Source organism: Homo sapiens, chromosome 5, assembly GCF_000001405.40.
Source record: "Homo sapiens chromosome 5, GRCh38.p14 Primary Assembly".
Lineage (NCBI taxonomy): Eukaryota > Metazoa > Chordata > Mammalia > Primates > Hominidae > Homo > Homo sapiens.
Window position 1 is genome coordinate 55,977,317 of NC_000005.10, and position 14,612 is coordinate 55,991,928.

Below are 14,612 nucleotides of genomic sequence, written 5' to 3' on the forward strand. Positions count from 1 at the left end.
TCCTGGGCTCGAGCAATCCTCCTGCCTCAGCCTCCCAAAGCACTGGGATTACAGGCATGTGCCTCAGAAATTCTTGATACGGCAAAACTAAGGTGACAGAAAGCAGATCCAGGGTTGCCTAGGGCTGAGGTAGAGAAGGCACACGTAAAAGGGCATAAAGGAAATCTGGGGTGATAAAAATACTCTATGACTTGATTGTGGTGGTGACTATAAGACTCTATACATTTGGCAGGACGCGATGGCTCACGCCTGTAATCCCAGCACTTTGGGAGGCCGAGGTGGGCAGATCACTTGAGGTCAGGAGTTCGAGACGAGCCTGGCCAACATGGTGAAACCCCATCTCTATTAAAAATACAAAAAGTAGCTTGGCGTGGTGGCGGGTGTCTGTGATGCCAGCTACTCGGGAGGCTGAGGCAGGAGAACTGTTTGAACCCGTGAAACAGAGGTTGCAGTAAGCCCAGATCATGCCACTGGACTCCAGCATGGGCAACAGAGCGAGACCCCGACACACACAGACACACACACACACACACACGCCAGGTGTGGTGGTGTATGCCTGCAGTCCCAGCTACTCATGAGGCTTGAGGCAGGAGAGCTGTTTGAACCCGGAAGGCAGGGGCTGCAGTGAGCTGAGATGGCACCACTGCACTCCAGCCTGGGCAACAAAGCGAAATTCTATTTAAAAAAAAAAAAAGACTACATTTGTCAAAATTCACTGAATTCTGTGTCAACTGTTTCAAAGGCACTGAGATTTTACCTTACTTTCAAGCTAACAAGTCAGCCTACCACAGTGTCATGGATACTGGCAAAAGGCATGACATTTTTGCGTCAGAAGCAAAGGACTGTATTACTCATAACAGTAGTCAGAGTATCAGCATTTTCTTGCGCCAGCTGCTTGAGTCCCAACTGTCACAGGGCATTGTGAAGTCAGATGACACCTGAACAGGCTGCTTCACAGGAAAGAAAGACAGATCTTAAGTAACCCTAAACTTGAAAAATATGCAGGAAGCATGTCTGCCATTTACTCTAGAGGGAGACATTATCTGTATCTTTGAAGACTGTAAGTAAGCCTGTCCTTTGCTCCACGGCTCTGAGAGTCTACCTTCCAACATTCTTTAAAAGGTAAGTTGGCTGGGCATGGTGGCTCACGCCTATAATCCCAGCACTTTGGGAGGCTGAGGCGAGTGAATCATGAGGTCAGGAGTTCAAGACCAGCCTGACCAACATGGTGAAACCCTGTCCCTAATAAAAATACAAAAATTAGCCAGGCGTGGTGGCGGCCGCCTGTAATCCCAGCTACTCAGGAGGCTGAGGCAGAGAACTGCTTGAACCTGGGAGGCGGAGGCTGCAGTGAGCCGAGGTCACACCACTGCACTCCAGCCTAGGTGACAGAGCGAGACTCCGTCTCAAAACAAAGTTCAGAAAAAAGGCAGCCATCAGGGTTTTTGCTGATAAGAAACGCAGAAATGTTAGACTCATGGGTTTCCTATCAAGTTGTAACTAAAAAATGGTGAATTTTATTGTTTATAAATTAGACCTTAAAACAAACAAAATCTGCCCAGATAAGGTATAACCAAAAGAAACGAGTGCTTAATACCTCCAAAGACATCTACAAGAATGTTTACAGAAGTTTTATTCAAAATAGATGAAAAATAAAATCAACCAAATATCTATTAACACTAGGATAAATTATGGTATATTCAAGTAATTGAATCACAGCAATGAAAAATAACAACAGATACATGCATCATGGATGAATCTCATATATAATACAGAATGAAAGAAATCAGACAGGTTGGGTGCAGTGGCCCACACCTGTCATATCAGCACTTTGGGAGGCTGAGGGGGAAGAATTGCTTGAGGCCAGGAGTTAAGAGGCCAGCCTGCACAAAATAGTGAGACCCTGACTCTACAAAAAAATTTTAAAAGAGAAAAAAGGCAAGAAAGTACGCTCTGCATGATTTATTTTACAGAAGTTCAAAAAGAGGCAAAAGTCTACGGTGTTTGGTGACAGAGGTCAGAGCAGTTGTTTTTTGTGAGGAAGGGTATAAAAGGGGACATTCTGGGTGCTGAGCATGTTCTGTATCTTGATCTGGACAGTGATAAATTCACTGAGCTGTACACTTATGAGTTCTGTTTTGCAGTATGTAACAAAAGGTAAACAAACCAAAAATTATCCCAATACCATTCTTACATATTAGTGTTGGCAAAAATATAAAAACCCAAAAAGTATCAACAGGGTGTTGTGAGACTAAGCAACGAAAGTATCGTCACACACTACAGGTTATAGTGTAAATTGGCATAAGCTTCCCAATACATTGAACACTTTAAAAATGGTCAGTTTTGTTGTTTGTAAATTAGACCTCACTTAAAAACAAAGAAAAAAGCTCTACCCAAACAAGGCAGAGAGCCAGTTCGGCAATATCAATCAAAATTAAAACACACACATTTGATTCTAATGATTCTACTTTATTTTATCCTACAGATATGAATAAAACAACACATGTACAAAGTTATTCACTGCATTGTTTTTAACAGTAAAAGGCTGAAACAACCTGATTATGATGGGACACTAGTTAAATGATGGTATACCAAAACCATGTAAATGTAAATACTTGTAGCCATTTAAAAAAAATGAGGAAGCTCTATATGTACAGAAACATAAAGTTATCTAAAATACATTGTTACATTGTTAAGGTACAGAACAACGCATTTGCTATTATTTGTGGGCAAAACAATATACAAGAAAACAAAACACACATTCGTTTTTTTATATATGCACAGTATCTCTAGGAGGATAAAAGTTCAAATACTGGCTGTGACAGGGTATTTGAGAGATCAGGGTGGTAGGGAGACGCTCCACCATATACTCTGCAGCCTTGCAATGTTGACCATGTGAATCTTTAGTACTTATGCAAAAAATAAATTTAAATTAAAAAATACTTAATGTCAGCTAGGTGCAGTGGCTCACGCCTGTAATCCCAGCACTCAGGGAGGCCGAGGTGGGTGGATCATCTGAGGTCAGGAGTTCCAGACCAGCCTGGCCTACATGGTGAAACCCCGTCCATACTAAAAATACAAAAAGTAGCTGGGCGTGGTGGTGGGCACCTGTAATCCCAGCTACTTGGGAGGCTGAGGCAGGAGAATCACTTGAACCCGGGAGGCGGAGGTTGCAGTGAACGGAGATGGCGCCACTGCACTCCAGGCTGGGCGACAGAGTGAAACTCCGTCTCAAAAAATAAATAAAATAAATAAATACTTAAGGTTCAAACTATTGGGTACTATGCTCACCAACTGGGTGACAGTTCAATCGTACTCCAAACCTCAGCATCACACAATATACTCATGTAACCTGTACATGAACTCCCTGAACCTAAAATAAAAGCTAAAATTATTAAAGACAAAATACTTAATGTGTAATTTTTTTCTTCTAAATAAAACTATTAACTCTTCTTGATGAGAAATGGCTTCCTAGTTCTGCACTTGGAACACAATATTGTTTTATTAAATATACATACTAACTTGATTTTATGCACTCCCTAATCATGTAACAGCTTGCCAGCATGCCCAGCTAATTTTTTAAAAATTTTTCTGTAAAGATGGGGGTCTCACTATGTTGCACAGGCAGGTCCCAAACTCCTGGTCTGAAGCAATCCTCCTTCTTTGGCCACCCAAAGTGCTGGAATTACAGGTGTGAGCCACTGTGCCAAGCCAAATGTACTATATTCTTGCAACAAAGCTGCTCCAGAACAAGAGGTCCATGAAAGAATTTATGATTACTTCAAAGCAATTAGATTTGTTTGAGTAGTACCATGGAACACAAGCAAAGCGAACTAGGCAAAGGTAGATTCCACATTTCACATTTAGAAAGTAATCTTTCCTAATTTTTAAAAGATTGTAATGGAGAGGTGATGAAGAAACATCTATTATGGGACTTGATTTCATAGTCCAAATCTAAGAGATGAAGACACAGTAACACTATATAAAATATTATATGCAATACAGTTAACTTCACTTGGGGCTTGCTTAAAAATTGACAGAATTATGGCCGGGTGCGGTGGCTCATGCCTGTAATCCCAGCACTTTGGGAAGCCAAGGCAGGCGGATGACAAGGTCAGGAGTTCAAGACGAGCCTAACCAATATGATGAAGCCCCGTCTCTAATAAAAATACAAAAATTAGCCGGGCATGGTGGCGCACACCTATAGTCCCAGCTACTCAGGAGGCTGAGGTAGGAGAATCACTTGAACCTGGGAGGCGGAGGTTGCAGCGAGCCAAGATCGTGCCATTGCACTCCAGCCTGGGTGACAGAGCGAGACTCCATCTCAAAAAAATAAAAAAAAAAATTGACAGAATTGACAGTAGTTTGCTTATTTTTTCCCTCCTTTCCTTCTGTTGATACTAATATTTAATTTAAAATTATATTAATAGCACTATTACCTCACCTCTTGCAGAGTTTTCTATGCATATATTATAACCATACATTGCATACACTAACCTTCCTTGAAATTTGCAGGTAACTTGAGAAGCTTCTATGAAGCCAAAACCTAACTAGTAACCATAAATACAGGAAAGATTATTTCTGAAAACCAAAAGCTGTAATCATTCCTCAACTATGGTGATATAACATGGTAGTGTGCCGAAAGGAGCTAGATGATGTATAACAAGTATTGCTACTTTTAATGTTAGAGAAACAAAGTTCATAAATGATTTATTTAAAATAGAATAAATTCAAGATTATCCCTATAGTTGTTCATTCTCATTTACTTTCATTTCCATATGTTTTCTCAAGTGAGAGAAAAAGCAGTAGAGTTACAATGGATAAATATTTAATGGTTAGGCTCTTTATAAATTATTTTTGTCACCTATGGATTGTGATTTTTTTTTCATTTTCTAACTTAACCTAAGGATGAAATAAAAAGCACGAATATATTTAGATTTACATTGCATGTGAAAAAGAATGTCAATATAAACTTTGTTACTATGGTAACATTACTATTACAATTGTAGAACAGTATATGAACTAAAATTGCCAAATAGAAGGCAAAATAATGCTTGTTGAATTAATAAGTTGCGTGGGGATCAAGATGAAGAAAATTTCTATATATCTTTCACAGTACAGTGTTACTGTGAATAAACTGCCAGAAGTTGGTAATACCTACACAAAATTAACTAATTATTAAATTAGTTTTTAAATTATCCACTCTGTTCTCTTCCATTAGTATCAATTATGAGTTCATAACAATTAACACTAGGATATTATTTTACATTACACAAAATGTTGTCACATAAATTATTTCACTTTAGTCTCCTAATATCCTAAAGAATCAGGTGAGTAGGGCAGGGATTATTTATTGGAACTTTGTAAAATAAAAAAACAAAAAATTCAGACAAGATCAATTACTTACCCAAATCACAAAATTAGTAAGTGAAGGAGTAGGGATTTGAAGCTAAGTCTTCTACTTCTAAATGTCATGCTTTTTCCATTGGGTTTCACTGTAAAGAGAGGAGAGTCTTGTTCAGAAGGCTGGCTTTGATAATTTTATTATATGTGTACTTTAAAAATCCCCATCTGCTCTTAGGCTTTTGGGTTTGCAGAAAGTATCCTACTTTAGATATGTTCTGAGCTTCAGAATAAAATAAACCCATAAACACTTGTATAAGAGTATTCAAATATTCTAGTGCTTTTTTTTTTTTTTTTTGAGACAATGTCTCACTCCCATCACCAGGCTGCAGTGCAGTAGCACAATTACAGCTCACTGCAGCTTGAACTTCCCAGGCTCAGGTAATTCTCCCACCTCAGCCTCCCGAGTAGCTGGGACTAGAGATGGCACCATCATGCCTAGCTAATTTTTTTATTTTTAGTACAGATAGTGTTTTGCCATGTTGCCCAGGCTGAGCTCAAAGGGATCTGCCCACCTCAGACTCCCAAAGTGTTGGGATTACAGGCATGAGCCACCGCGCCCAGCCCTAGTGCTATGATTTGATATACGCTTGCAAACATTATTGGCTCACCCACACCTAATGCAAACTTCCCTGACGTCTATGTAATGTCACAGAAACATGACAGGAACATTTATGACAGACGGAGTTCTTTAACAATCACATATTTCTTCTTCTACTAGCACTAAATTAAGCCTGCTAACAACTATTCTATGTAACCAGAGATAAAAATCCATTTTAAGATTTGTTCACTTAAATTCTAGCTTAAGTACTAGTGCTCCTCTTTGAAATACAACAAGTAACTTCAAACTTAGGCAAGGAGTTGAATCTTCCATTATTGTTTCATACACATTAAGCCTTTGATATAACTTAATAACACATAAGGAATTAAATTTATAAAAATATTTTTTAAATGTCTAATGAAAAGAAACTGAAAAAATGCCATGTGAAAGTGCACTATAATCCCACCAAGAGATAACTACCATGAACATTTTGGTGGATATTCTTGCAAAATTTTTTATACATGTATTATATAACTTTACATTGTATAAATATACACACTTTTCTATTTTACAAAGATGGGATCATGTAAGTGAGAAATGTTTTATAACCTTTTTCACTTAACACTACATAGTGGACATCTTCATAAGTTAATATATAGAGAGTAATTCCTTGTAGCCTTTGCTCAAATTCACCTCCTCATAGAGATCTTCCCTAACCACCCTGTGTTTCTTATACCCCTTTACTGATTTTTTTTTTTTCTACAACACTTAACACCTTCTAAAATAGGCTAGCAAACATTTTCTGTAAAGGGCCAGATAATAAATATTTTAGATTTCGTGGGCTTTAAGTTCTCTCTTGCAATTAGTTAACTCCGTTATTAAAGTGCAAAAGCAGCCATACACAATATGTAAATAAGTGGGCATAGGTATATTCCCATGCAACTTTATTTATAAAAATGGCTGCAAGCTGGATTTGGCTTATGGGCTATAGTTTGCCAACCCCTGTTCTAAATACAATATAATTAAATTAATTTTCTTTTTGTTTGTTATGGGCTGAACTGTTCCCCCCAAAAAATATGTTGAAGTCTTAACCCCAGTAGCACAAAATGTTACTCTATGGGCAGATTTAATTGGATGTTATAGTGGAGTATAATAGGCCTTTAGTACAATATGACTGGTGTCTTTAAAGAGACAGAGCCAGGAAGAATACCATGTGAATACACAGGCAGAGATTGGAGTTATGCAGCTGTAAGCTAAGGAATCTCAACGACGATGGCTACCACCAGAAGCTAGGAGAGGCAAAGGAAGATTCTATCCAAAGTCTCAAAAGGACTTCTAGCCTCCAAAACCTTGAGAGAATAAATTTGTTGTTTTGAGCCACCCAATTTGTGGTACAGGTTGAACATCCCAAATCTAAAAACTGAAATGCTCTAATTCCAAAACGTTTTGAGCTCTGGCATTTTGGATTTCAGATTTTAGGATTTGGGATGCTTAACTTTAAGTATATAATGCAAATACAACACAAACTGAAAAAAAAAAATCCAAAATCCAATATACTTCTGTTACTAAGTATTTCAGGTAAGGGATACTGTAACAAAGGGATGCTCTATTACAGTAGCCCCTAGGAAACTAACACATAGTGTGTGTCCCCAAAATAGAAGGTAAGTGAAGAGTGGAATGGCTAGGCCCTACGGCAGGTGTGTGCTTGGCTATATCTTCTTTGATGATGTGTCTGTTCAAACATATTGATCAACTGGGTTTCCTGTTTTCTCATTAAGTTTTGAAAGTTCTAAGAAGATATTCTGGCCTTTATTAGAAAATGGATTTACGCATTATTTTCTTGTATGCTTGTCTTTTCATTCTTTTAACAGTATCTTTTGACGAATAGGAGGTTTAATTTTAATAAAGTTCAATTCATCAATTTGTGTTTTTGATGTATCTAAGAAGTCTTTGCTTAATCTAAAATCATAAAGGGCCCGACGCAGTAGCTCACACTTGTAATCCCATCACTTTGGGAGGCCGAAGTGGGTAGATCACCTGAGTTCAGAAGTTCGAGACCAGCCTGGGTATATGGTGAAACCCTGTCTCTACTAAAATATTTTAAAAATTAGCCGGGTGTGGTGGTGCACATCTGTAATCCCAGCTACACAGGAAGCTGAGGCAAGAGAACTGCTTGAACCCGGGAGGCAGAGGAGGCTGCAAGTGAGCAGAGATAGCACCACTGCACTCCAGCCTGGGTGACAAAATGAGACTCCTTCTCAAAAAAAAAAAAATATAAAAAATAAAAATAAAGTCAAAAAGGTTTTTTCCTACAAGTTTTATAGTTTTAGGGTCATTTAGGTCTCAGTTATTTCAAGTTAATATTTATGTGTGGTGTCAAGCTGAAATTTGAGTTCATTTTGTATATACGGATAATTGTTTCAAAACTATTTGCTGAAAAAATTATCCTTTCTCAAGTGAATTGCCTTTGCGTCTTTCTTAAAAATCAGTTGTTCACAGGTGTGGGTCTATTTGGCTACTCTCAATTCCAGGGTGGGCAAGCTTTTCATGTATGAGGTAGGAGGTAAATATTCTAGGTTTGTGAGCCATAAGGTCTCTATTGGAGCTACCAATCTACTGTTACGACACAAAAGCAACCATAGAAAATACATAAACAAACAGGGGTGGCTGTGTTCTAACAGTACTTTATGAAAACAGAAGGTAGGATGACTCCTACTCTATTTGTTCCACTGATCAATTTGCTTATTTATATGCTACCACCACACTGTCGTGATGACTTTAGCCTTATAAATCTTGAAATCAATATTCTGTGTGCACTTAAAAAGCACTGCTGCTGCTGGTAGAGTGTTACATAAATGGTCATTACGTGAATTTGGTTGATAGTGTTCAAATCTTCCATATCCTTACTGATTTTCTGACTACTACTTCTATCATTGTTCAAAAAGGGATATTGAAATCCCTGAATATAACTGTGGATTTACTTCTCCTTGCAGTTTTTACCCTGTTGTGTTTTGAAACTATGTTATTTGGTAGATCCTTTTGATAAATTGACCCTTTTATCATTAGGAAATGCCCTTCTTTACCACTGGTAACATTCTCTGAAATCTACTTTGATATTACTATAGCCAATTCTGTCTTACTTTGATTAGTGTTATCATGACATATCCTCTCCCATTCTTTTTTGTTTAATCTGTATGTTTCTTCATATTTAAGTGGCATCTTTAGGGGGTAGGCAGCATGTGGTTGTATCCAATCTGATAATCTCTGCTTTCCAATTGGGTGTTCAGACCATTTACATTTAATATAATTTGTGATATGATTAGGTTTAAAGCTATCAGCTTCATATTTGTTTTCTTCTTGACTGTTCTTTGTTCCTGTTTACTTTTCTGCATTTATTTTTCTTAATTATTTTTTATTCTCTTTTCCTTGTTAGCTAATAAGCTATAATTCTTTGTTTTCTTATTGGTTGCTTTAGGTTTATAGTGTACATCTTTAACTTTTCACAATCTATCTTCAAGTAATATTATGTCACCTCAGGCATAGTATATAATAGTATACTTCCATTTCTCCCCCCAGACCTTTGTGCTATTTTAGCATATATTTTACTTTTGCATATATTAAAACTTCACATTGGTAGCTCCCACCTGAAATCCCATCACTCTGGGAGGCCAAGGCAGGAGGATCACTTAAGCCCAGAAGTTTAAGATCAGGTTGGGCAATATAGTAAGACTCTCGCCTCTACAAAAAATAAAAAGTTAGACAGCTGTGGTGGTGCATGCCTGTTGTCCCAGCTACTCAGGAGGCTGAGGTGAGAGGACTGCTTGAGCCTTGGAGGTCGAGGCTGCAGTGAGTTGTGGTTGCACTACTGCATTCCAGCCTGGGTGACAGAGTGAGACTGGCACATATTTACTCGTGTGGTTACCATTTCTAGAGCTTTTAATTCCTTTGTATAGATCCGTATTTCCATCTGGTATCATTTTCCTTGGGCCTGAAAAACTGCCTTTAACATTTTTTTGTAGTATGGTTAGAGAAAAGTCTAAATAGATTTGAAAACAAAACCAAAGTGTGAATGCTAACAAGTATTTAGCCTAAAATAAGCACAGTTCAAAATGAGAAAAGATACTGCTAATTACTATATTAACAGACCAAAGGAAAATGACAGGGTCATTCCAACAGATGTTTGAAAAGCATCTGATAACATTCAACAACTGTTCATCTAAAACTTAAAAATAACAACAAAGTGTCAGAAAACTAAGACTGAAAGAGACCATCCTTACCTTGGTGAAGGATAACAAAGATGATACAGGGACTCTAGAACCAGATTGCTTGTGTTCAAATTTCAGTCCCTATATTTTAACATCTTAGGCAAGTTTTTAAATAGCCTTCACTTTTACTTCCTTTATCTGTAAACATGGGGTACCACCACCACCTACCCATCTAGGAATGTTATGATGATTAAATAACTCATTATACATAAAGTGCTTAGAATCATTTGGCTCATTGTAACTACTCAATAAAAGGTTAACAGCTGTTATTATTAGTGCAGCTCTTGCTGTTGCTGCCACAGGTACTACTATAAGAAACCTACAAGGCCAGGCATGGTGGCTTACGCCTGTAATCCCAGCACTTTGGGAGGCCGAGGCAGGTGGATCACAAGGTCAGGAGTTTGAGACCAGCCTGGCCAATATGGTGAAACGCTGTCTCTACTAAAAATATGAAAATTAGCTGGTCGTGGTGGTGGGCACCTATAGTCCCAGCTACTTGGGAGGCTGAGGCAGAAGAATTGCTCGAACCCGGGAGGCAGAGGTTGCAGTGAGCCGAGAATGCACCACTGCACTCCAGCCTGGGCGACAGAGTGAGGCTCTGCCTCCAAAAAAAAAAAAAAAAGGAAGAAAGAAACCTATAATAAGCATCTATAGGTTTAAAGGTAAAAATTAGAAGCGTTCCTATTAATGTCAAGATTCAGACAAGATGCTTGAAGTCATCAGTTATTCACCACTGCTCTAAAGGGCTTAAGCAAAAATATAATAAATAAGATCTAAAAATGGAAAATAAATTGTGAATGATATGATCATCTATCAAGAAAGAGTGAGAATCACATGACAAACTATTAGGACTATTGAGAATTTAACACAGTAGTCAAACAAAACATCATCAAAAAATAATAGGACTATTTAGAGTTTAACATAACAGTCAAACAAAACATCATCAAAAAATAGCTCTCCAGCTGGCGCGGTGGCTCACGCCTATAATCCCAGCACTTTGGGAGGCCGAGATAGGCAGATCACCTGAGGTTGGGAGTTCGAGACCAGCCTGACCAACATAGAGAAACCCTGTCTCTAATAACAATACAAAATTAGCCGGGAGTGGTGGCGCACACCTGTAATCTCAGCTACTTGGGAGGCTGAGGCAGGAGAATCACTTGAACCCAGTAGGCGGAGGTTGCAGTGAGCCGGGATGTCGCCACTGCACTCCAGCCCAGGCAACAAGAGCAAAACTCCATCTCCAAAAAAAAAAAAAAAAGCTCTCCTACATACCAGTAATAACTAATTAGAAAATGTAACAGAAGGCTGGGTGCAGTGGCTCACGGCTGTAATCCCAGCACTTTGGGAGGCCGAGGTAGGTAGATTGCTTGAGCCCAGGAGTTCAAGACCAGCCTAAGCAACATGGCAAAACCCCATCTCTATAAAAAATAAAAAAAAAATAAAAAAAAAAATCAGCCGGGCATGGTGGACCATGCCTGTAATCCCAGCTACTCAGGAAGCTGAGGTGGGACAACCACTTGAGCCTGGGCTTATAGAGGCTGCAGCAAGCTAAGAAGCCAAGATCTTGCCATTGTACTCCAGCCTGGGTAACAGTGCGAGGCTCTGTCTCAAAAAAAAAAAAAGTCTCGCAGAAAAAAAAAAAAAGGGCAGTCTAAAGGTAAAGTAAACATAGCACTGATTGGCAAATGAATAGACAACTAAATCAATGGTACAAAACAAAACACACTCAAGTGTATATAAGAATTTAGTATCTGATTTTTTAAAAGGTTGCTCATTTGCTGGGAAAATAAAGGACTATTCAATAAATAGTATTGGGACAACTGGCTCCATAAGCAAAAAAGAAAAAAAAGAACCCCATTTCATCAGACAAAAAGACACACACTCATGCACGTGCACATGCATGTATAAGCATACACTCTCTCTCCAGATTAAGGACCTAAATGCAAAAGCAAAATTATAAGCATATTGAAAAACACATAGAATATGCTTATGACCTTAGGGCCTTTTAAAATTAGACTATTTTAGCCAAATGAAAAGGTTTACAGAGCACTTTGATGAACATCCATGTTCTCACCATTGCTTAAGAAATAAAAGCTCAAGCTTTTATTCAATTTTTATTCCGTTACAAACATAATTGAAGCCATATAAATAGTTCTTGCCTTTAAGAAGTCCAAAGTTTAGAGATGCAGAATATGCACAAAGTGCCACAGGAGCACAGAAAATACCCAATTCAGACAGGGGCCAGGAGCGCCCAGTCTTAAAATAAGGGTAGGGGTTCCTAGATAGAGAAAATAGCACACATATGAACTCTACATCATCTTTGACTCTAATTGTCAAGTGAAGATTACCAATGACAAAATCCCAGAGCATGCCAGTCTAACCAGAGCTATGCTATCTGAAACATAGCTCTGATTAACTCACTTTGCACTAGGGGGTGGGGTTGGGGGTAATACATAAAACAGAACATCCAAACAAAAAAAGACTGAGCAGATCAATCAACCTTAGAGCAAAGGGTGAAGCTGATTGCTTAAAAGAAAATGAAACTTTGGAGGCAGAACATTCCAAATGTAACAGGGCAACAGATTTACAGTGCTGAAAGGAATGAATCTCCTGCTCTGGATATGTATACACACAGCTTTAAAACAATCATCTATATACTATAGCCATTTTTCAGCCAATGTAGCTCTCTTATTCACGATCAATCAGCTAATTTCTTATTAAATCTTACTAAGATACACTAGATAGCCGCAAAGTTTAAAAAAAAAAGAAGAAGAAGAGACTGTAGCCATTTTGACTATATATATCACAAGTGTTTCTGAAGCCTTTCACATTGTTGACCATCCCTGGTTCTTGAATTTCTCCTATATCCTGGTTTCTATGTAACCAGATAATGTAGTTGAATTCTTTCCTTTATCCTCTTTCTTGTCTCCTTTACTGAATTCTCTGCTAGCTTTTATCTCCAGGCTATGAAGGTACCCAAAGATAAAGTACTGGGCATCGACTTTTCTTTTTAAATACCAACTTCTTTGAAGACATGACTTCAACTACTACCTTCAAACAAAATAATTTCAAGAATTTTGGCTTGGATCTTTCTTTTAATTCCAGTTACATTTCATCTTCTTAGATATTCTGTCTCTGAGTCTTATCAATTTAAGAGGTCTAAAAACAATACACCATAGGTACATGCTCATGAACACATATACACATAAATGCCCACCCACTTTTTTTGTTTATTATACTTTAAGTTCTAGGGTACATGTGCACAACATGCAGGTTACATATGATACATGTGCCATGTTGGTGTGCTGCACCCGTTAACTAGTCATTTACATTAGGTATATCTCCTAATGCTATCCCTCCCCCCTCCCCCTACCCCATGACAGGCCCTGGTGTGTGATGTTCTCCACCCTGTGTCCAAGCGTTCTCATTGTTCAATTCTCACCTATGAGTGAGAACATGCGGTGTTTGGTTTTCTGTCCTTGCAACAGTTTGCTCAGAATGATGGTTTCTAGCTTCATCCATGTCCCTACAAAGGACATGAACTCATCCTTTTTTACGGCTGCATAGTATTCCATGGTGTATATGTGCCACATTTTCTTAATCCAGTCTATCATTGATGGACATTTGAATTGGTTCCAAGTCTTTGCTATTGTGAATAGTGCTGCAATAAACATACGTGTGCATGTATGTCTTTATAGCAGCATGATTTATAATCCTTTGGGTATATGCCCAGTAATGGGATGAATGCCCACACACTTTTTAAAAAGTCACAAGGACTTACCATTTTTCCCTATCTACAAACAACTCATCCTCTTCAACTGCCTAAGTCAATGGAGTCCATCGTTTCTCTCATCTATGCAGTACATTTTAGCTTTTCTCAGTTACAAATCTTATCCTGTCTTCTCTCCCATAATATCTTTCCCACCCATCTCTTCTTTTTACTCTCTACCACAAACTAACCTAATTTGGACATTGATCACCTCAATAATTTCAACTGTGTTCCTGCTTCCAGTCTCTTTCCTCCCCACCAAGCATTCTGAACATTGTTGGTGGATCACTCTCTCTACAACACAACTTTAAACCTGTCATTCTTCTCCTCAACAGCTTTTTAAAGGGTGAATAATAATGCCAAATATTCTAACTATTTAAGAACCTAAAATTTTGGCTTTGATGTGCCTATCCAATCTATCTTTTCCAATACTCAAGTTTCTCTATTCTAAAAAAAAAAAAAAATCCTTTCCTCAGACTCCTCCCTCAAGCTACCTTACTACTATACTTCTAGAGAGAACTGCTTGCAATTGCAAGCAATCTGGCTTTTTTACTCCAATAATGCTGAAATTATTCTTGTAGTTTCCAAACTGCAAAGCAAATACTTAAGCTCCTCATTTTGCTTGACCACACCA

General features: G+C 38.2%; 1 protein-coding gene across 10 annotated transcripts in view; it reads right to left on the reverse strand.

The window, feature by feature from the left end:
- IL6ST (interleukin 6 cytokine family signal transducer) overlaps positions 1-14,612 on the reverse strand; it is a 59,869-nt gene that overhangs the window by 42,222 nt on the left and 3,035 nt on the right. For all 10 annotated transcript variants that reach the window (NR_157112.2, NR_120480.2, NM_001364276.2 and 7 more), the window contains exon 2: positions 5,408-5,495. The gene's annotated coding sequence lies outside the window, so the exon portion shown is untranslated. The remainder of the gene's footprint in view (positions 1-5,407; positions 5,496-14,612) is intronic.